This window comes from Homo sapiens, chromosome 1 (genome assembly GCF_000001405.40).
Source record: "Homo sapiens chromosome 1, GRCh38.p14 Primary Assembly".
NCBI classification, from domain to species: domain Eukaryota; kingdom Metazoa; phylum Chordata; class Mammalia; order Primates; family Hominidae; genus Homo; species Homo sapiens.
This window is the reverse complement of record NC_000001.11, coordinates 4,308,619-4,331,885: the sequence shown is the minus strand read 5'-3', so window position 1 is coordinate 4,331,885 and position 23,267 is coordinate 4,308,619. Positions and strand designations below refer to the sequence as shown.

The 23,267-nt window shown below is 49.5% G+C and overlaps 3 annotated features.

Moving 5' to 3' along the window:
• Positions 2,515-3,015: an enhancer, noted in NCBI's record as "H3K4me1 hESC enhancer chr1:4388931-4389431 (GRCh37/hg19 assembly coordinates)". NCBI's record gives its function as "activates a minimal SCP1, AML or CMV promoter by ChIP-STARR-seq in primed H9 embryonic stem cells {active_cell/tissue: H9 hESC(primed)}" and the evidence as "EXISTENCE:reporter gene assay evidence [ECO:0000049][PMID:30033119]".
• Positions 14,218-14,387: an enhancer, noted in NCBI's record as "experimental_8096 CRE fragment used in MPRA reporter constructs". NCBI's record gives its function as "activates a minimal promoter by MPRAs in K562 erythroleukemia cells, with activity observed for both the introgressed and non-introgressed 1:4377644 variant alleles {active_cell/tissue: K562}" and the evidence as "EXISTENCE:reporter gene assay evidence [ECO:0000049][PMID:34662402]".
• Positions 21,716-21,775: a silencer, noted in NCBI's record as "silent region_132". NCBI's record gives its function as "represses an Ori minimal core promoter by ATAC-STARR-seq in GM12878 lymphoblastoid cells {active_cell/tissue: GM12878}" and the evidence as "EXISTENCE:reporter gene assay evidence [ECO:0000049][PMID:35858748]".

Below are 23,267 nucleotides of genomic sequence, written 5' to 3'. Positions count from 1 at the left end.
TGTGACGTGTGTGCTGCAGTTGTGACATGTGTGCTGTAGTTGTGACGTGTGTGTGCTACAGTTGTGACGTGCGTGCTGCAGTTGTGACGTGTGTGTGCTGTAGTTGTGACGTGTGTGCTGTAGTTATGACGTGCATGCTGCAGTTGTGACGTGTGTGCTGCAGTTGTGACGTGTGTGCTGTAGTTGTGACGTGTGTGCACTACGCAGCGTGCGCATCACACTGGGTCTCAGGCTGCTCCTGGGATAGGGGTTTAGCACCCACATCCCAAAAGCACCTCGGGGCAGCGTGCTGAGAGTGGGAGCTGCAGGGCTCAGCGGGGAGGGCGTGGCAGGTGTGTGTTTGGAAGGCTCAGGAGGAGAGGAGAAGGCCTGGAAGCAGGACACTGTCCCAGGAGCTGTGCCCCCCTGAAGGGTCCTGATTAGCAACTGAGAAGCACTCGCGTTTTCCCCTTAATAGAGAATAATGATCAAGACACAATTTCTATTTTGTTTTTAAATTTATACTGAAAAGAGTATTAGAAATGAAACATTAATGGAATGTGAAAAATGAACTCTGCATTCGGCTCCCATTAACTAAATTGCTGGAGCTCGTGGATGGGAAGGGAGGGGGATAACTACGCCCAGAAACAGCATTTCCACCACACGCACGGCCGCCTGCTGCCCAGCCAAATGGATCAATATTTTATGTACTTTAATTTTCTCATCTCTGGGCTTGATGTTCTGACTCATCTTTTGTTTTATTTTCCTACTTCATAAATATTAAAAGTGCGCATCCGTTTTCCCAAGAAGAACAAGGTTCCCAGTTTCTGTTTGGAGGCCCGTTCCTTATCCTCAAGAGGACAAAGACACTGTGACTCCTAAGAGCTCCCTTCCCTGGCAGTTCCCACCCTCCTGTGCTAGTCAGGGCTCTCCAGAAAAGCATAGCCTGTGGGGGGACATATAGAGATCTATAAAGAGATTTATTATGAGGAACTGGCTCCCACCATTATGGAGGCGGGCAGGTCCCAGGAGCTGCAAGGTGAGTGGGGCAGGCCAGCAGGGAACCCAGGAGAGCTGCAAGCTCTTGGTTGAGTTCCTGTCCCAGGGCCAGTGGGCTTGAGAATCAGGAAGCGCGATGTTTCAGAGTCCGAAGAGAGGGAAAAGGCCGACAATCCAGTTTGAAGGCCATTTGAGGCAGAAAAGGATTCCCTCTTGCTCCAGGGAGGGTGAAACATTTAGGTCTATTTGGGCCTCAGCTGATCAGATGACGCCCACCCCAGGGGAGGGGCATCTGCTGGTTTAAGAGCTAATGTCATCCAGAAACACCCTCACAGATGCGTCCAGGATAACAGGGTTGACCAGGTGCCTGGGCACCGTGGGACCCCATCAGAATGACTCCAGACTCACTTCCTTTCCTGCCTGCCTTTGCTCTCCTCCTCCTACCGCATCTCTCATTCCCAAGTTTGCAGTATTTGGAACACAGCTCTCCTTAATTCATTTCATTTTTTTCTGACGGGACCCTTCAGCCCCTTGCAGCATGGCCACGTTCCCCTTTTTTGTTTCCTTTCTTTCCTCCTTGTTATCATTTCTTTCTGTTTCTCAGCTCCTTTTTCCCTCCCTAGACCCAGGCTCTGCAGAACATGCCAGGGACACCAGGGAGCGGCCCCTCATTCCTTGAAATTTATTATTTGCCCCACATCCTGCCCTTGGCTTGCCTGCTTTCCACAATGCAAAAGCCATCTTCGAAGTGACAAAGGTCCCCGTCTGCGAGTGACACTCAGTCTCAGCTTCCTGCTCACACACAATTAGACCACTGGGCACAGGCAGCCCTCACTCTGTTCTCCTGCAGGATGGGAGTTTGGCAGAGACCCCAATACAGCCAGGATGGGGCCTCGTGGAGGCTCAGGGCTGCATTTCACCAGAATTCCCCTTATCTGTGGCAGTCTTAACCACCCCCCCCCCCCAAGGGTTTTTGATTGGCAGAAGGCTTGCACGGCCCTACATGATCTTTTACTGTCATGCATTGCAAAAATCGTAATTGAAAAGGCAAAAGGCAGTAGCATTATTACAGGAATTTAAAAGACATCACAGGCACCTGCTAATCCCGCCACCCTAACACAGCCACTATTTTCACTGGAGTAATAAGGTCTTCACTTAAAATCTCCCCATTAGTGAAATGCATATGCTCTGAAGGAAAATGAAATGTACATGCAGCCGAGCAGAAAGTACTCAGGTCCCGCGTGGCCCCTGCCCCCCACCAAGCAGCACTTCCCTACGGCCCTGGAAAATGGGGATTGCGTTTGGGGAGGAAGCTGGGAGGCCTCCAGGGCCTTCCAAACTGAAGGATGATTGAACAGTGGTCCACGCTGTCCCTTAGCCGAGGCTAAATGTAGGATTCAATCTTTCACAGAAGGGTTTTCCATGAGGTTGGAAATGACAGAGTGGCCATGTTGTTCCTCGAGGGACCAGAGCCCTGACTCGCCTTCTCACTGCCGAGGGCTGTAGGACACATGGCTCTCCTTACCCCATGGGAAGGAAGTCTCCCTTCAGAGCCTCAATCAACGCCTCAGGCTCCATTCCTGGCCCCTGGTGCCTGTGCCTGCCGTGTGCCCCATCTCCGGTCCCAGGTCCTGGGATGTAGCTTTCTCAATTATTCGCTCTTCTTAACACTCCCATCTGACTATTGCCACCTGTGGCCAATCTGCCCCTGAAATCCTCTGATCTGAGCCCCACCTCCATCCAGGCACCCGGACCTCTCACCTGGATTGTGGCAAACCTGCCCCACCCCCCAATGGTATTTCTTTCTCCTTTCTCTGAGCTGTCCCCCATGGGAGAGAATTGTGAGCCCACACAACACCCCCAGCCTGCCATCCATGGGTGAGGGTGTGACCAGTGGCATTCACAGCAACATGTGCTCCAGGCGTGGACCCAGGTTCTAGGTCTGTAGGGCAAGGCAGGAAGGACGTGTGCTCCAGGCGTGGACCTGGGCTTTAGGCACAGGTGATGCAGGAAGGACATGTGCTCCAGGCATGGACCTGGGCTTTAGGCACAGGTGAGGCAGACAGGACATGTGCTTCAGGCATGGACCCGGGTTCTAGGCACAGGTGAGGCAGGCGGGATGTGTGCAGGAGGCCTAGGGACATGGAGGTGAGACCATTTGCACCACCTGTGGCCCTTCACAGCCACTGGGACAGAGGCTGTATCAGACGCTGCCGTTCTTCATGTCTGAACCACTTATCTCCCTGAAAACAGACCAGTGGCTCCTCCCACCTACCGCAGCCCAGCTTCCTCCCCAGCCTATCTATGCCTCCCTCTGCTTCCGCAGTGGTCCCCACCCAGCTCTGACCACACCAGGCCAGGTGCCCTCCACACACCCGGGGCTGCTCCTCTCACTAGTGCTCCTGGGCTTGCCCAGATTCCCTCCCTGGAAATCCCTGTCTTGACTCCCATCCCAGAAGCTGGGCAGGGGTGAGCAGGTGCCACTGTCACCTTGGTGACCCCATCATATCCAGGTGAGCCTCTGTCTTGGCATCTGTCTCATTGCACAGCAGTCATCTATTCTGGACAGGCTCCCCTCTGAGTGTGGCCCTGGTGCCAAGCAGCATCTCCAAGACACTGCAGGTGCTCATTAAATTTCTGTTGTACTGAATGGAATCAGAAGGGTCTAGTCTCCCCTTGGGAAACTCTTGGGTGTGTTTGTAAGGGAGAGGGCAGGACCGTGGGGCAGGGAGCAGTGTGGCAGTCACACTCACGGGCTTCAGAGTCATCAGACTGGGCTCCACCCTGAGAGGTCCAGTGTGCACCTGTTTTCGAGGCAATGCTAACATCTGGTAGCTCTGGGTGCTGAGGAAGACCTGAGATGGGGCAGGTGAACCCTTGGACACAATGCCTGGTATGCAACTAATTTTGACAAACGTGAGATCTTGGTGGTCACTGTAGCTACAGCATGGCCTCCGGCTGGGCTGGCCTGTTGTGGCCAATCCCAACCTCCCACCTCCAATCCACAACCCTCACAATCATATTCCAGATCTGATGGAGAAGACTCAGCAATCACTGTCTCCCTGGTCCCAGGAAAGGTGCAAGGAGCTGTCTTCCAGACACCGTGCCTATCTTTCAAAGGTAAAGTCAGCTGAGCTGGAAGAAACACAGAAGCTGCACACTCCCCAGAATAAAGCCACAGCCTCGTGGTGGGAGCACCAAGATGGAGTCTCATGGCAAGGGCAGTGGGTGATGGGGGGAGAAGCGTAGCCAACATGCTCAATGACAGAGATCAGACCTAGAGGGAAGGTGTTTTGATGGAGTCTCATGGCAAGGGCTGTGGGCAGTGTGGGGAGAAGGGTGGCCAATGCACCCAAAGCCAGAGATCAGACCCGGAGGGAAAGTGTTTTAATCCATTCTTGAACTGCTGTAAATAAATACCTAAGACTGGGTAATTTATGAAGAAAAGGGGTATAATTGGCTCACAGTTCCACAGGCTGCACAGGAAGCGTGACTGGGGAAGCCTCAGGAAATGTTCAATCATGGCAGAAGGCAAAGGGGAAGCAGCTCATTTCACATGGCAGGAGTGGGAACAAGAGAGAGAAAAGGGAGGTGCCACATGTTTTTAAACAACCACATCTGAGAACTCTATCATGAGAGCAGCCCTAGGGAGATGGTGCTAAACCACTAAAACCCACCCCCAGATCCAATCACCTCCCACCAGGCCACTAGAACCCACCCCCAGATCCAATCACCTCCCACCAGGCCACTAGAACCCACCCCCAGATCCAATCACCTCCCACCAGGCCACTAGAACCCACCCCCAGATCCAATCACCTCCCACCAGGCCACTAGAACCCACCCCCAGATCCAATCACCTCCCACCAGGCCCCATCTCCAACACTGGGGATTACATTTCAACAGGAGATCTGGGTGGGAACACAGATCCAAACCACATCACGAGGCAAGATGGGAGCCCTGCAGCCTGACACTGTCCAGCTCTGCTGGGTCCGCCCAGCTGGAGCAGTCACCACTAATGCTCTGCCCAGATCCCCGTGCCATTTCCGTGTGCACATCCTGGCATCTGTGGGCTTTGCTTACACAGCCCCATACCTGAGACCCTCTTCAGAGGACCAATGTTTGAGCTATGTCTTGACCTCTTCCCCCTGTTGTTGGGGGAAGGATTCCCATCCTAGGGTTATGGGGCTGGCTGAACACACACCTGACACTGGGCGGATGAAATGGTAGCAGCTTAACAGTGTCGTGTACTCACAGCCCAGGTGTGGGGTCCCTGCCCACAGAGGCCCACACAGAGACTGCACTGGGTACAGAGTGAACTGGCCCTGGCTGTGGGAGGTGGCCTTTGCTGTATCAAAAGACTGAATCCCCTGATTCCCATGGGAGAATGTGATTTCCTTATTTCAAGAGTCCTGCATCTGGCAAGAAACTGAAGCACACTCCTCCAGGATAAACAGGCAAAGATAAAGGGTGTGGTTTGGCTGGGGGGTCTTATCTGGGGGAGTAGAATCGGGGCAGGGAGCTTGCTGTTAGGCCATTTGAGGCCTTCTCATTTCAGATATTAAGGTAGCACATAATATTGGGCTTACAGCCAGGCACGACGGCTCACGCCTGCAATCCCAGCACTTTGGGAGGCCGAGGTGGGTGGATCACCTGAGGCCAGGAGTTTGAGACCAGCCTGACCAACATGGTGAAACCCCGTCTCTACTAAAACTACAAAAAATTAGCCAGGCATGGTCATGCACGCCTGTAATCCCAGATACTCGGGAGGCTGAGGCAGGAGAATCGCTTGAACCCAGAAGGCAGAGGTTGCAGTGAGCCAAGATCACAGCACTGCACTCCAGCCTGGGCAACAGAACGAGACTCTGTCTCGAAAAAAAAAAAAATATATATATATATATATATGTATATATACACATATATTAGGCTTACACCAAAGGCTGCTGGGACTGCTTCTCCTACAAATCAGTGAGCCGGAATGTCCAGAAATTTACTTTCTTCCCCCTCAACCTCCACTTCAACCCCACAATTGCCTAGGTCAAGGGCTGGCCGGTGCAGGAATAGAACAGCACAGCTCTCTCGCTTCTAATAGGGATAAATGCAGAGGGACAACCTACACCCCGGAGCTCCCTGCAGGGGCAGCCTGAGGCTGGATTTTGCCCAAAATTGTCCCTGTGCTCCTCCCCTTTTTTTTTTTAAGTCATGTTCTTCTCACATCAACTCTCTTACTGGTTTCTCCTGGAAGACCCAAGTCCTTATCTCAGGGCCTACTTTTGGGGACTGACCCAGGACATGTTATCCTTCACGAGGATTTGCCAACTGCCGAGCATTTTACACACTTCCACTCATTTGATTCTTGCAATAGACCTGGCAACTCAGCAAACGAGACCATTAAACCCATTTTATAGGTGAGAAGATTGAGACCCAGGCAGATGCTGGGATTTGCCCAAGGTCTCACAACGAAAGAGGAGAGAGGGCTGAGCATGGGGTTCATGCCTGTAATCCCAGTCCTTTGGGAGGCCAAGGCAGGAGGATCGCTGGGGCTCAGGAGTTCAAGACCAGCCTGGGAAACATAGTGAGAACTCAGCTCTGCAAAAATGTTTTTAAAATAGCTGGTCAAGGTGGCATGTGCCTGTAGTTCCAGCTACTTTGGAGGCTAAAGCAAGAGAATTTCTTGAGCCCAGGAGATGGAGACTGTATTGAGCTCTGATTGCTCCAGAGATATGATTCCAACTCGGATCTGAGCTGTGCCTCCAAAATTAAAGAAACGCCAAGTATACCATAAAGCTTCACATGAAGTTCTCAACCTCAGAGAAGGACCCAGCATCTCCCTGGCCACCTCCTTCTGCTCATTCGAGTTCCTGCTGACATGTCTCCTCTGAATCCCGCTCCCAATCTGAAGCTGTCCCGTAGTCAAGCTCCTCCACTCTGTCCTGTTTTCTTATGAATTTTTGCTCTGCCCACCTTCTCCCAGACAATTGTGAGCCCTGTAAAGACAGGACTCGGTCACTGTGATTCAGTCTAAGTCACCACATGGGTGTTCAATGAAGGTTTGTTGAATAAGTTAGATGATTAATCCTGCAAAACCAGCTTCTAGGGGCTTGAGGGAACAGTCAGTATGACCTCACCACACTGTGGCCACAGCCTCCCTACTGTATTGCCTTCTCTGGGGTCCGTCCACTCACACAGAGCGATGCATGGAGCTCAGCACCCCACCGTCTAACCATGAGGCCACACATCCTCACATCACTCTCACCACTTTCGCGGGGCCAGACACCAGCACGCTGCAGTGCCGAGTTTTGACTCTGAGGCTGAGTGAGGAGACACAGCCCTTCACTAATGACCTGGAAGACGGGCAGGGTGGGGATGGAGAGTGATTGATGTTTGGAGGTGGAGAGCCTGACAGTGGTACCAGGAAAGGACTTTCACCTTGTGAATAATAAAGACAATTGGGCTTCAACGTATTTATCACCCTTCTCTCAAGAAGGGCAACGTTGGAGAGAAAATGGTCCATGTTACACAGAACAATGAAGAAAAGGTTGTAGGAGGTGCTGGTATCATAAATGTTCATCTTCAATGAAGCAAATCAGCGTGGTGTCACTGCCGCAGTTAGCTGTGGGTTGAGTGGAAACGGGCGCCCCTGACCGGTCCCCAGGCATCCTCTGGGTGATTCCTGTGATTGGCCTCAGCCGTTCCAGGTCATCGCCGCCGCAGACCCACCTTGCTGTGCCCTGCCCTGCACTTCTTCTGTTCATTTCCCCCACTAGCTGGAAATATCCTGAGTAAACACTTTTAAAAATAAGAAACTCCGGACTTTCTCTAATTAGATAATTTGAAATCAGGCCAAATTAGGATGTAACTATTTTTACACGGCTCCTCTTTATTCTCCGCTTGAAAAATTATTAACAGAACTAGTACCTGGGATGGTGAAGGGCAGTATTTATTCCCCCCATTAAATCCATAACAATTCTACCTTGCTAAAAATAGAGGGGAAAATGAAGAGACTTACAAAGCGCCTTCTCCTTTCTCAGGTGCCTGATATTCACCATAAAGATAAACGCAGAGTTGTGGCTGTGGCTTACAGAATCTGTTCACTTTAGGCCACTCCAAGCCAGCCACTCCAGGCCAGCCACTCCATCCCTTTCCTGGCTCCTTCTTGGAGCTGATTTCTGATGTCTTTTTGGCTCAATCCCCCAAGATACTCATTTTCCCAGTGCCATTTCCCACTCCTTTTATTTAGTGAAGCGTGCTTCAAAGGTTGGTTGATATTTGCATATCCCCTCCGCAGTCCTATTTGGAGAACCAACCCCATGCAGGACACAGGGAAAAATCTTGGGGTCACAAGATGAAAAGGCTGGGTCCATCCCTGAAGAAGCCAATAGTGTGATAGGCGAGATCAAGTGATTGTGAAATACTACGGTGGGCCCTAAAGCAGTAGGGACCCTCAGCAGGAGGACAGAGGACAGCTTCCTGCAGGAGACCTGTACTCTAATGAGGTTCTGGGGGGCAGTGCAATGGGATTTGAGACCTGGGTGCAGAACACTGAACAGGCAGAGGCTGTGATGAAGGAATCACTGGGTGGCAGGAGATGGGGACAGAGGGTCTCCAGGGACCAGGCTCCAGAGGGCCCTGTGGGCTGCACCAAGATGCCTGGGGTGTGCCCAGACAGTAGCAAGAAGGGCTGGATGCAAGGAAAAGGAAGAAATCCCACACTTCTGTACACAGCTGCTTCCCTGCCCCTTGCCTGCTTCAAAGTCAAATTCTTGATTTTCCCTTACCCCTGGCTCCAGCCCAGGAGGCCACTTTGAGGCTTAGCTTCAGGCACAGGGCAGGGTGCCAAGCAGAACCAGTTTTGTGGGGAGGGCTCAGACGCGAAAGGAGATAGGGAACGAAGTCACCCCTGGAGGGCCCAGTCTGACGGCTCACACCCTTGCTCTGAGTCCCCGCTCCATGCTGATTTTGAACCACCTGTGTCACAAGTACCCCTACTCGCTCATGCCTGGAGTCTCCTCCGTTATTCCTCAACCATGTCCAGCGGTGACTGCCCTGCAGACTCTGACCCCGTGGTGCCCCCACCTCAGTCACCTGTTTACTGAGCTTCAGTTCTTCCACAAGCTCCCTGCTCCCCAGGACGTGGTTCCTGGTTCCCTGGGGACTGTGGACACGCTTTCCAACTGCCAGACTCTCCTCCCCTGGCTAAAAGGTCCTTGGAGGTGCAGTTTGGTCTGTTTTGCTCATCAGTTTATCCCCTGCTTTCGGAGCAGTGCCAGTGACACTGTTGATGTTCAGTGGAGATTTGTTGAATGAGTGAGTGAATGAATGAATGAATGAACTCCAAAGATGGCCAGGAAGCTAGGGGTGTACAGAGGATAAGCACAGGGCATTGTCCTAAATGCTAAAACTTTAAGCATCAGAAAGGCCTGCTGTCTGCTCCGGGTCCCCTGCGGTTCTCTAAGAGCCAGGAAGAGGGGCTTCAATCACTTCTGGTGGGAGGGGAGGTGGCTGGGTGGATCTTGACGGTACCTTACTAGGTCCTGTGGTTTTTTTCATCTTGCTTCCCCGTGTCCACCAAAAGAGACTGTGTCTTCCACCTTCCCTTTTGGCTCTCTGAAAGCTCCTTCATCTGGGAGGAGATTATTATGAGGGAAGGAGGGTGGGTGGCTGGAGAGGTAGGTGAATCAATGGGGTTGGGTGGGGGGTCCTTCCATGGGTTGTTTTCCAAACAGTGGCCCTGCGTCCTTTATCTCTTTTACTGACCACCATCAGATGCAAACCTAGTTACTGCCCCCTGGAAAGGCAGGAAGAAGTTCTGTTGCTGGCACAAGATTCAGGTGGAAGGTGTAGTCCCAGAAGGGGGGCCTCCGAGGGAGGGGGTTTCACTTGGCCCAAAGCCTTGTGAGGATGGAAGGGTACACCGCCTCCCCTGCCCTGCTCTGACCTCCAGGGATGCTGACACAGAGACAGAAGGGTAGACAAACAGAGAGAGAGAAAAAAAAAGGCTGACAGATGGCTGTATGACTTCAAAGAAAACATTTAAAATTCCAGAATAATAATTCAAAATACATCATATGCCTCCTGTGTTTCAGAAACAGTTGGCCTAGGGGAGATAAAGATATTCAAATGTGGCCCTAGCTCTCCAGGAGGTCCCAGGAGGTAGCAAGGGTAAAGTTATATTAGTGAGGACACCCCTGCACCAGCCTCACCCCCAACCAAACCCACACTCCAACTAGCCCCACCCTAAACAGCCCCACCCCCAACCAGCTACACCTCAGTTTGATATGGTTTGGTTGTGTCCCCATCCAAATTTAATCTTGAACTCTAGTTCCCATAATCCCCATGTGTCATGGGAGGGGCATGGTAAGAGGCAGTTGAATCATGGGGGTGGCTACCCTCATGCTGTTCTCATGATAGTGAGTGACTTCTCATGAGATCTGATGGTTTTATAAGGGGCTTTCCCCCAACTGTGCTCAACACTTCTCCTTGCTGCTGCCATGTGAAGAAGGACATGTTTGCTTTCCCTTCCACCATAATTGTAAGTTTCCTGAGGCCTCTCCAGCCATGCGTAACTGTGAGTCAATTAAACCTCTTTCCTTTATAAACTACCCACTCTTGGGTATGTTCTTATTAGCAGCATGAGAATGAATACATGGCCTTAGGCCCAAATAACCTCAACCCCAAAAAAAGCTCTACCCCAAGAAGCTCTACCCCCTCAACCAACCAACCAGCATCACCCTGCACCAGCCCCACCTTCTCAGGGACCTCTGGGCTCAGACAAAGGTTCTGGGTCAGAAACAAGATTTCCCTCTGTGTACTCCAAACAGATAATTTACATTTGAGTTTTTGGTTTTTTTCATGTTGAGGTTTTAAGAGGCCAATACAATCCCTTTTCCCTGACCCAACATTTGAAAGATCAATTGAGAAAGACAGGAGTCAGGTAGGTATCCCTGATAAAAGCTAGGAGACCCACCAAGCCAGCTGTGTGGCCTCAATGGGGCTCCCGAATTGTACAGACACCCCAACAAGCTGCCAGCTCTGAAGGCGACTGCAACCCCCTCCCCAAATCAGCTCCCACAGCACAGTAGCACAGTGGGAAGGAAGACCAAGGCACACTCTCCAGGCCAGCCCCCATGGTATGGGAGAGGAAGGGAAGAGCTACACATACACACACACATCCCTTCCAATCAGGGATCACTCCTGGGCAGGTTGGAAGCTGAGCTCCTCTTCCCAGTTCTTTCCCTTTCAGGGCAGGGCAGTGGAATTAACTCCCTCACCTCTGTGAAATAATGAACCAGGAGGATGTGCTCCATGCTCACATATGCAGGCACACACACATAGGTATGCGTACATACATGCACACACACAGGCACCGGGGGAGCCTCTGACTCTGTGGACCCGTGGGAAACCTTTGAGTACTGACTGGATAGTTCTCATTACATGGCCCCAGTTACAAACCAACTTTTCTCTAGGAGCACAGATGGCAACTGGAAGTTGAGAGCTACTTATTTTCACATCTCTCTTTTTCCATAGACTATGAGCTCCTTGTGGGGAGGGCCTCCCTAGCCCCCCACCTGCTATAACTCTCTAGGGTGAGCAACTAAGCCTGGTTTGGGTGCAATTTCCCAGGTTGGGCACTCAAAGTTTCCCGTACCAGGAAACTGCCTTACTTGTGGGCCCACCTGGATAATTAGTCATCTTGAAATAGTCAATACATATTTGTTGACTGAATGAACTCAGGGTTGCATCCCCTACTCACTCCTGAGAGGTTGAAGAACAAGGACTCAGCCACAGGCGGCAATGGCCAGGAGGCAGTCTCAGCCCCGTTACCTGTCTAGGGGACAAAACTTGCTTCTTTCCACACAGTTGTCAGCAAGATCCTCTTTTGACTTGGTGGAAGGGGAGAGGTGGGGGGTAGTTGTCCCAAATATCATTGTTTTATTTGGTGGCTGAAACTTGCAGACCAAAGCTCTGGAAGTTGCAGAAAATTCCCCAGGAAATGAACGCCCTTCATCCTTTATCCTCAACAGATGCAGAACAATGTGGAAGAAGCTGATGTGGGAAGTGGGCTTGCTGGGGACTGCATAGAGGCAGGTCTGGGCAGTGTTGATTACAAGACCAGCCCTAACATGCAGAATTGTTTTTAACTGAGATTCAGGCAGTTGATTTGCCTGCATGAGATGCTTTCCAAATTTCCACGAGGCTGACAAGTGGCATTCCATGAAAAGTCAGGGAAATTTGCATTCGCAAGCATTTGCCAGCATTTGTAGAAACCCATGGCATACTAGGTAGGGACTGAGGAGGGAACAAGTTTCCTCAGGGGTCCTAAGAAAACCCTGGCCACAGTTTGCTCCCTGACAGAGTTCATTACTTCCACACAAAAGAAGGGCCTTGAGGATCTTTGCCATGTTTGCCTACAGCTGTGAAATCAGAGACGGCCAGGGTGAGTGAATGCCGGCGGGTGCAGTATGCATCCTGGTGATCAGGGGCGGGGGATGCAGTGGCGCAGAAGGGGCATTCTGGATGATGTGGGTTCGAGCTGGGCTTTAATGAAAAGAAATGCATGCAAAGTTTCCAGCTGGGAGAAACAGCTGGAGCAAAAGCCCAGAGAATGAAATACAGGAGCAGGTTAAAGTAAGCTGAGGTACACTGGTTGGAGAGGATAAAAGATGGAACAGAAGGTGAGCTAGTGGGGGAAGGTCCCATCCAGAGCCCACCCTCACCATTCCATCCCCAAGCTCCAGACTTGCCTGGGGGAGCTCGGGGAAGCCCCCAACTGGCAGAGTGGTCTAGGTGGCAGCCACCAGGCTCCCCACCCTGAGTGTCAGACCCTCCTCGTGCTATAGCTTTGGGGACCAATAAGGGACACCACATTTAGAATCGCCCAAGAAACAAAACCTCAAGTGTGACAGCTGGCACCAAGCAGAGTGAGCCAACGGGGCAGTGAAGCCGAGATGGGGGCTGTGTGGGCTTCCTAATCCTCTCCCAGATTCAACCCACACGAGGCCAGGCGGGCCTCCCCCAGGAGCAGGGCCTGCCCAGCAAATTCTCCTTGTGGCTGTGACATCATAAAAATATGTATATTTGGGCCAGGTGTGGTGGCTCGCACCTGTAATCCCAGCACTTTGGGAGGTTGAGGCGGGCAGATCACAAGGTCAAGAGATGGAGGCCATCCTGGCCAACATGGTGAAACCCCATCTCTACTAAAAATACAAAAATTAGCTGGGCGTGGTGGTGCATGCCTGTAGTCCCAGCTACTCAGGAGGCTGAGGCAGAAGAATCACTTGAACCGGGGAGGCAGAGGCTGCGGTGAGCCGAGATGGCACTACTGCATTCCAGCCTGGTGACAGAGCGAGACCACATCTCAAAAAGTGTGTGTGTGTGTGCGCGTGTGTGTGTATAAAATATATATTTATACATAAACACACGTGTATATGTATTAGTATATGTATGTGTATGTGTATATGTAATGTATATGTAATGTATATGTATATGTATATGTATATGTATATGTATATGTATATGTATATGTATATGTATATGTATATGTATATGTATATTTGGTCTCTGCCCCCTGTTCCATGCACACAGCTCCTAAAACCCTTGGAATTTCTTGAGCAGCAGGGGTGCTGGGAGAATCTTTTGTTCTATTATTTGGTCTTTGACCCTGTTTCCTGACACAGAGCTGCTAAATCCCTAGGAATTTCCTGGGTGACAGGAGTGTCTTCTGTTGTAATGAGGTGACTTTTTGTGGGTTCCTGGATGGGCGCTGGCCACTCAAGAGACCAGCGTGGAGAGGAGAGACAGGCTGGAGATGGAGTTCATAATGAATCGTGCTTACGAGATGAAAATCCCTGAACTGCAGAGTTTGGGAAACTTCCAGGCTGGTGAACAAGAACACGTCCACACTCTGGGAGGGAGTGCACCCCAACTCTGCAGGGAAAGAAGCTCCTGCATGGGGATCCTCTGGACCTCGCCCTGTGCCCCTCTTCATCTATCTTATCCTTTATTAAACAGTAAACTGGTAAACCTAAGTAAGTGTTTCCTTGAGTTCTGTGAGCCTTAGTAGTAAATTCTCACACCCAAGGAGGGGGTCATTTATGCAGGTGGATCAGAAGTACATACAGGTCACAACCTGGGACTTGTGCTTGGTATCTGCAGTGGGGGACAGTCTTGTGGGACTGTGTCCTCTACTCTGAGTCTATACTAACTCCAGTTGGTGTCAGATTTAAATGAAATGTTGGAAAACCCAGTTCCTCTCCCACTTTCCCAACAGATGAGGAGAAGCGGTGAGCAATGGCGATAAGGCACCTCCCCCTCTAACTCCTACCCGGGCCACCGGTGGATTCAGGGAGGGAGACAGAATCGGGCTGCCATAACAAACTGTCACAAACCGGGTGGCTTTAAACAGCATACATTTATTCTCTCACAATTCTAGAGACCCAGAAGTCCAAGACCAAGGTGTGGGAGGGCTGGTTCCTCCTGGTGGCTGCAGGGAGACTCTGTGCTATGCCTCTCCCAGGCTCCTGGTGGCAGCCCTCCATCCCTGCATCCTAGCTGTTTCTTGGCTTACAGACACCATCACTCCAGTTTCGACCCCATCGGCACCTCACCTTCTTCTCTGTGTCTTCTCTTCTTATAATGACATTAGTCATTATAAGGTTCTATCTATCCTATAATCCTGCATGATTTCATCTTAAGGTCCTTAACTAATAATATCTATAAAGACACTATTTCTAAATAAGCTCACATTCTAAGGTTCTGGGAGGCCATGGATTCCAAGGGTGCCCTATTCAACCCACTCCAGGTTCCCCCAACACTCTGAATCCCACCTCTCTTATCCTCACTTTTCCTTCTCCTTCTTGCCGTTTCCATTTCTTCCTCCCTGGGGGATGATTCCCATCTGCCTAAACATATGCTGGAATAGCCCATTCCAAAGTAATGGCTACAGAAGTACAGAACCCCTTGACTGCATGTTCCCCTCCAGCCACCACCCACTCACACTGCTCCCCTTTGCAGCCATCCCTCCATTTTCTGTGTTCTCTATCTCACATCCAGGCTCCCTTCCTCCCACTGCCCACTGGCTCACCAATGATCAGGCATTGCCAATGCTCTTTTCTCATTTTGCTCAAACTTTGGACAGCTTTTGATACAGTTGAGGGACTGAACAGACAAACAGCCAGGGCACTCCAACCCATCAGCTCTGCAGCCATTGGCGCAGAACAGTCAGGACTTGGCCAATGACTGCAGCTTCCCTAATTTTTGCCTCTTTTCCAACTTAGGGCCAAGTAGAGAAAGCCCCTTATGTTCCCCAAACCCATCACAGAAGACATCTGCCCCTATCTATTCAGCCCACCTTCTGCTCCTCCAGGCCAATGGCCTCCAATCAGGATGCACCTGAAGCTGTCTCTGTTTTCCACTGTAAAGTTCTCCCATCCCTCTGCCTGTCTTTGAGTCTTTGCCAAAAGCAGGTGATGGTGGTCAACTCCTTTGCTACAGCAAGCTCTGAATGGAAAGCCTCTGCTTGTTCTCATGGGGTGGGCTTCTTTAATTTTCATGCAGTTGATCACCTTTTCTTTTATGAAATAATTTCTTCGAGACTGCAAAGATTCACATACCTATTTTTCCCATCACTCACCTGCTTGCTCTTCTAGACCTTCTTCATCTAGCCCTCATGACAGGGCTCTGAATCCAGCTGTCTTCTCTCTATGCACACTCTGCCTTGGTGGTCTCATCCAGGCCCACAAATTTATGTGCTGATGTCTCCCATGATTATAAGTTCCTCCAGATTCATACAGCTCCCTCACTCCCCCAGGACATATCGCTTTGAATGCCTAATAGAAGTATTAATCCTATGGTGGCTGTATTTGTCAGCAATAGCAATGTCCACAGAAATGTTGCATGACAAACCATCCCAAAACTCAGAGCCTTACAGCAATTAGCACATACCCTGATGCTCATGGCTTCGCAGGTTGACCTAGGTTTGGTTGGTTTGGTTGACCTAGGCAGAGCCAGATGTGTGGCTCTGATGTTCTGCTTCATGCAGGTGAATTAACTGCAGACTGTACATTGGATGCAAGTTCAATCATATGTGTTCATTTCTAAGCCCACGCTTCATGGGAAGCCCTTCCCATGAGGATCCCTAGATTGCAAGAAGCCAAACAGCACGAGCTCATTTATGGCCTTGGCTTGCCTTGGGTCTACCACATTTCTTTTAGCAAAAGGAAGTCTTGTGGCCAACCCCAACTTTACATGGGCAAGGAAGTACCCTCTACTCACAGTACAGGGGAAGAGGAGCAAATATTTGCCAAACAATGACCTCAAAGTCCAAGCCATGAGGATTCTTGATGAAAAAGATTAAACTGTGATATGGTTTGGCTGTGTCCCCATCCAAATTTCATGTTGAATTACAATTATAGTGTTAGAGGAAGGGCCTGATGGGAGGTGACTGAATCGTGGGGGTGGACTTCCCCCTTGCTGTCCTCATGATAGTGACTTTCCACAAGATCTGGTTGTTGTAAAAGTATGCAGCACTTCCCCCTTTTCTCTCTTTCTCTTTCTGGCCACGTGAAGATGTGCTTGCTTCCCCTTCACTTTCTGCCATGATTGTAAGTTTCCTGAGGCCATTCCGCCTGTATAGCTTGTGGAACTGTGAGTCAATTAAATCTCTTCTCTTTATAAATTACCCGGTCTCAGGTAGTTCCATATAGCAGTGAAAGAACGGACTAATACAGAAAATTGATACCAGGAGTCAGGGATTACTATATAGATACCTGAAAATGTGGAAGTTACCTTGGAACTGGGTAACAGGCAGAGGTTGGAACAGATTGTAGGGCTCAGAAGAAGACAAGAAGATGAAGGAAAGTTTGGAACTTCCTAGAGACTTGTTGAATGGTTGTGACCAAACTGCTAATAGTGATACGGACAGTGAAGTCCAGGACGAGGTAGTCTCAGATGGAGATGAGGAACTTATTGGGAACTGGAGTAAAGGTCACTCTTGCTATGCTCTAACAAAGAGACTGATGGCATTGTGCCCCTGCTCTAGGGATCTGTAGAACTTTGAACTTGAGAGAGATTATTTAGGGTGTCTGGCAAAAGAAATTTCTAAGCAGCAAAGCATTCAAGACATGGCCTGGCTGCTTCTAACAGTGTATGCTCATATTCATGAGCAAAGAGATGATCTGACACTGGAATTTATATTTAAAAGTGAAGCAGGGCATAAAAGTTTAGGGAACTTGCAGCCTGACCATGTGGTAGAAAACAAAAATCCATTTTATGGGTAGGAATTCAAGACTGCAGAAATTTGCATAAGTAAAGAGGAGCCAAATGTTAATAGCCAAGACAATGGGGAAAATGCCTCCAGGGCATTTCAGAAACCTTCACAGCAGCCCCTCCCATCACAGGCCTGGAGGCCTAGATGGGAAAAATGGTTTTGTGGATCAGGCCCAGGGCCCCACTGCTCTGTGCAGCCTCAGGACATGGTGCCCTGCATCCCAACCACTCCAGCTTCAGCTGTGGCTAAAAGGGACTAAGGTACAGCTGGGGCCATTGTTTCAGAGGGTGCAAGCCCCAAGCCTTGGCAGCTTCCATGTGGTGTTGTGCCTGCAGGTGCACAGAGGGCAAGAGTTGAAGTTTGAGAGCCTCCAGCTAGACTTCAGAGGATTATGGAAATGAGCAGATATCCAGGCAGAAGTCTGCTGCAGGGTCAGAGCCCTCATGGAGAACCTCTGCTAGGGCAGTGCAGAGGTGAAATGTAGGATTGGAGCTCCCACTCAGAGTCCCCACTGGGGCACTGCCTAGTGGATCTGTAGGAAGAGGGCCACTGTCCTCCACACCCCAGAATAGTAGATCCACTGACAGCTTGCACTATGCATCTGGAAAATCTGCAGGCACTCAATGTCAGCCCATTAAGGAGCTGCCCAAGGCCATGGGAGCCCACCTCTTCCATCAGTGTGCCCTGGATGTGAGACATGGAGTAAAAGGATATTATTTTGGAGGTTTAAGATTTAATGACTGCCCTGCTGGATTTCAGGCTTGCATAGGGCCTGTAGCCCCTTTATTTTGGCTAATTTTTCCCTTTTGCAATGGGAGCATTTTCCCAATGCCTGTACCCCCATTGTATCTCAGAAGTAACTAACTTGTTTTTTATTGTACAGACTCATAAGAGGAAGGGATTTGCCTTGTCTGAGATAAGACACTGGACTTGGAATTTTGAGTTAATGTGGAAATGCGCTAAGACTGTGGGGGACTGTTGGGAAGGGATGATTGCATTTTAAAATGTGAGAAGGACATGACATTAGGAAGAGCCAGGAGCAGAATGATATGGTTTGGCTCTGTGTCCCCACTCAAATCTCATGGTGAATTGTAATTCCAGTGTTGGTGGGAGGTGACTGAATCATGGGGGTGGACTTCCCCCTTGCTGTTCTTGTGATAGTGAGTTCTCAGAAGATCTGATTGTTGTAAAATGTGTAGCACTTTCCCTCTATCTCTCCTGTGGCCACATGAAGATGTACTTTCTTCCCCTTCACCTTCCTCCATGATTGTAAGTTTCCTGAGTTTTCCCCAGCCATGCCACCTGTACAGCCTGTGGAAAAGTGTAACCATAAACACGGTTATGATAAGTTTAAAAGTGTATAAAACTGGTATGTTTAAAACCACAAAATGGTGTTAAGAGAAATTTTTAAAGGCCTAAATATATGGAGAGAGACCATGGATGGGAGGAGTTTATACTACTAAGCAGTCAATTCTCCACAAGTTGACTTACAGATTCACTGTGATTTTCATCAAAATTCCAGCAGAATTTTTGTTAGGAATTGACAAGTTAATTTAAATGAAAATTTTAAAAGGCTAAGAATAAATAGGGTCTTATTGAAAAAAATAAAATAAAGTCAGAGGATTTAATCTACCATAATTCAAGATTTACTATAAAGTTATAGTAATTAAGATAGTGTAGTATGAGTAAAAGAATTAAACAAATAGATCAACGGAACAGAGCAGTGACTCCAAAAGTGTGTGTGCATTTGTGCATGTATGTGTGTGTGTGTGTGTGTGTGTGAACTAGTTTTTTAAAAGGCACCAAAACAATTCCATGGGCAAAGGAACGTCTTTTCGATAAGTTATATGTAAGTAACTGCACATCTACATGAGAAAAAATAATCATTCACTCCTACCTTATACCATATACAAAAATTAATTCAATATAGGTCATAAGCTTAAATGTGAAAGTTAAGACTATAAATCTCTAGTAGAAAACATAGAAGAGGATCTTTAAGGTCTTGGGGCACAAATTAATCCCTTAAGACACAAATGCTCTACCCATTAAAGGAAAAAAACCAATTTCTTATAAATTTAGGCCTTTTGTTCATCAAAGGACAGCACCAAAATCAGCCATGGAGTGAAAGCCGTTATTTGTAATATATATGTCAGACAAAAAGCCTACACCCTGGATATATATGTAAAAGTCTATCACAAATCAATAATAAAGAGATAACTTCCCTCTAAATCTGTAAGAGACTTAACAAGAATAAGTGGTCAAGATATGATTGAAAAAAAGAATAAAGTCGGAAGATTGAGTCTACCTTATTTCAAGTACACAAAATAACAGAATGCATAACAACCACAGGAAAAGTTGCTCAACATCCCTGACCGTTAGAGAAATGCAAATTAAAACCACAGTAAAGAACCACTACACACCACTACACACCACCACAATGGCAAAAATTACAAATCCCGAAAACCACAGAGCTGGCGACGGTGTGGGTAGGCTGGAATACTTACCCGTTACTGGTGCATGTGTGGGGATGGTTACACCACTTTGGAAAGCTTTTTGACAGTTTCTTATATGGCTGAACATACATTTACCCTAAGATCCAGCAATTCTTCTAGGTCTATAACAATGATAAATAGGCCCACCAAATACTTGTCCAAGAATGTACGTTCATAGCAACTTTATTTGTAGTAGCCAAAAACTAGGAACAACCCCAACGCCCATCAACAACAGAATTGATCAACAAACTGTAGTATATCCGTTCAATGAAATTCTACTCAGAAAGAAGGGGAGGAAAGCAGGAGAAAAAGAAAGAACAAATGGCTGATGCATGCAGCTACTTGGATGAGTCTTGAAAACATGAGTGGAATGAAGGAAGCCAGACAAGACAGACTACAGACGGTGCAATTCCATTTCTATGAAGTTCAAGAACAAGCGGGACAAATCTAAGGTGATGAAAGCCAGATCAATGGCTGCCTGCAGAGGAGGTCGGGAGGGGAGACGGCTGCCAAGGGCAGGGTCTTTCTGGCATGATAAAAATGTTCACTCAATCTGGGTAAGTTTCCGTTGTCAAAATTCAACTAACGTTTCATTTGAAACTGTGCATTTTACAGTATTGAGACTATGCCCCCATAAAGCACTGTTTAAAATAACTTACAGACAGGCTGGGTATGGCCTGTAATCCCAGCACTTCGGGAGGCCGAGGTGGGCAGATCACTTGAGGCCAGGAGTTTGAGACCAACCTGGCCAATACAGTGAAACCCTATCCCTACTAAAAATAGAAAAAGTGAGTCAGGTGTAGTGGCAGGCACCTGCAATCCCAGCTACTTAGGAGGCTGAGGCAGGAGAATCGCTTGAGCCAAGGAGGCGGAGGTTGCAGCGAGCTCAGATCGTGCTACTGCACTCCAGCCTGGGCAACAGAGAGACTCTGTCTCAAAAAAATAAAAAATAACTTAGAAACAAACTGAAGAACGGTATGCAAATAACAACAGAACACAGGAAGGAATCATTCTAGCACAGAAGCTATCTACCCCTTCTTAAGCATCTCAACTTTTCCTGGCACGATGCAACATGCCTGTGTGCATTACCCCCAGGTAGTGTTATCATAAGCCCTTGGAGCAAGGGGTTTTCCTGGACCCAGAGAGACTCGGTGACTCCCCTGAGATCCCCCGAGCTGTGCACAGTGGCAGAACCAAAACCCAAGGCAGACATGCGGATACCAAGCTGTCAGCCTCCACATTCCTTCCAGGTGCTGGGCTGCTTTCTGTTTCTTTGTGTGAATCCCACAGCAGCCAGCAATATCACTATGATTGCCCATTTTAAAGGTGAGGCAACAGACTCAGAGATGAAGTGGAGTAAGGATGTGAGCCCAAGCCCAGCCCGTTCTCCCACTAATACCACCCCTGCTCCCTGCCCCGCTCCTGGCCACCATTGCTGTCACCTCCCAAAGGTGCCACCTGTGCCTGCCCAAGGCCTTGAGATGCAAACAGGAAAAGCCTCAGTAGCTCCAGAGGTGAAGCACAGGTCAGGGATTCTCAACACAGAAAAGGCTATGTTCTGCGCGGCCAAGGTGCAGAAACACAGCCCCCGCGCAGCACCAGGTGCTTGGAGGAGATGTGCTGGCCTACAGAACAATGGGTCAGGTGAATATTGGGTGTTACAGCTTCCACAGGGCTGTGTGAGCTTCGCTCCCCCTCCAGACTGGGAGCTCTAGCACACCACGCCCATGCCTGGGGTGCACACCGTCCCCAGCAAGTGTCCTTGGATTGAATGGCTGTAGTAGAGTTCCTCTGTTGCCCTGTTGATGGCATTTGACAATAAGCAGCGTGCTGGACTGTCCCACTCACTCTCAGGCGGACCACTAGTTGAGCCCCCCAGAACAGGCAGCTTCCCACCCTGTCCTACAGCTGAACTGGAGGAGGGTTCCTAGAGGGACTGCTGGGACACTGGAGGCCCCTGGGGAGGAAGGAGTTTCAAAAGGGAGCCAGTGGCTGGCCCAGGTGCAGCAGGGACACGGTTGAGGGAACACAGACCACACGTTTGTTGTTCTTGTTGGGACGGGCCACCTGTCCCAGCGAGACGGTGGACTGGCTCCATGCCTCACCCTGAGCCCCAGCCAGCAAGCATCCTGAACCAGCAAGACACCTCCAATATCTCCTTCCTCTGGGTGGGTCCCAGTGGGACGTAGGACCCTGGCTCCTTGGACCCCTCCTACCCCAAATCCATTGAGAGGTCATGGCCCCACCCCCAGACACCCAAAGAGCCACTCTTGCTGTCTGTCCCTCATGCAGTCTGCTCTGTCATGCAGCCCCCCGGGGACACTCAGTGACAGGCAGACAGTGTCATCACCAGTCCTTGAGAAACCTCTGGGTCTCAGCTTGGTTGAGAAAGGACGGTAGCCCTGGCCAGGTGCTGACCAGGAAGTTGTAAGCAGGAAAGGAGTAAGATTAGAGACAGCAGCAGTGTCTAATGGAATTTTCTGAGTGGATGAGTGCTCACAACGTGGCTACTGAGTATTTGAAATGTGACTCCTGTGTCTGAGGAATTTAATTTTTTATGTAACTGCATTCATGAGAATTTTTTTTCTTTTTTTTTTTCTTTTTTTTTTAATTATACTTTAAGTTTTAGGGTACATGTGCCCAGCGTGCAGGTTAGTTACACATGCATACATGTGCCATGTTGGTGTGCTGCACCCGTTAACTCGTCATTTAACATTAGGTATATCTCCTAATGCTCTCCCTGCCCCCACCCACCCCACAACAGGCCCCAGTGTGTGATGTTCCCCTTCCTGTGCCCATGTGTTCTCATTGTTCAATTCCCACCTATGAGTGAGAACATGCGGTGTTTGGTTTTTTGTCCTTGCGATAGTTTGCTGAGAATGATGGTTTCCAGCTTCATCCATGTCCCTACAAAGGACATGAACTCATCCTTTTTTATGAGAATTTAAATTTACATTGCCACAGGTGGCCAGGGGCCATGTCCGAGAGCATAGCCTGGCAGTGGCCACCAGCTCTGCTGGGAGTCTCCCCCAGGAGTCTCTCTGGTTCCAGGAAAACTCTCTACTTGAACTCCACCCAGGCTGTGACTGTACCCTGCCCTTTGCCCTGCCCGCCAGGGCTGGTTTTGAAGGTCTACAGGAACAAGAAGCCATCTCTGGTCACCTAGGATGGTCTTGGAGGGCCGAGCTAGGAACCTGTCAGAGGAGAGGGAGCCGAGACAGGGGTCCTATGGGAAGGGAGAGGGCAGGGCTGGTGACACCGTAACGCTCAAAAGAAGCCACTGCTCCCGCCCGGCTCCCACTCCATGCACCCCATCCTGGACACCCAGAGCAACCGTGACATCCCTAGTTCCTTTTCCAAAAAGTGAGGAATAAACTGCCCAACACATTCTCCCCAGTCCCTTCCAGCTGAGCCCACCTTCTGGTGTGACCGTCACTGGAGTGTGGGTGGCCTCGTGGAGAGGCTGCGTCTGCCCTCCATGGCCACGGCCACACAGCCCCAACATGGGCTACTGCAGAAAAGTGTTCTTTCCA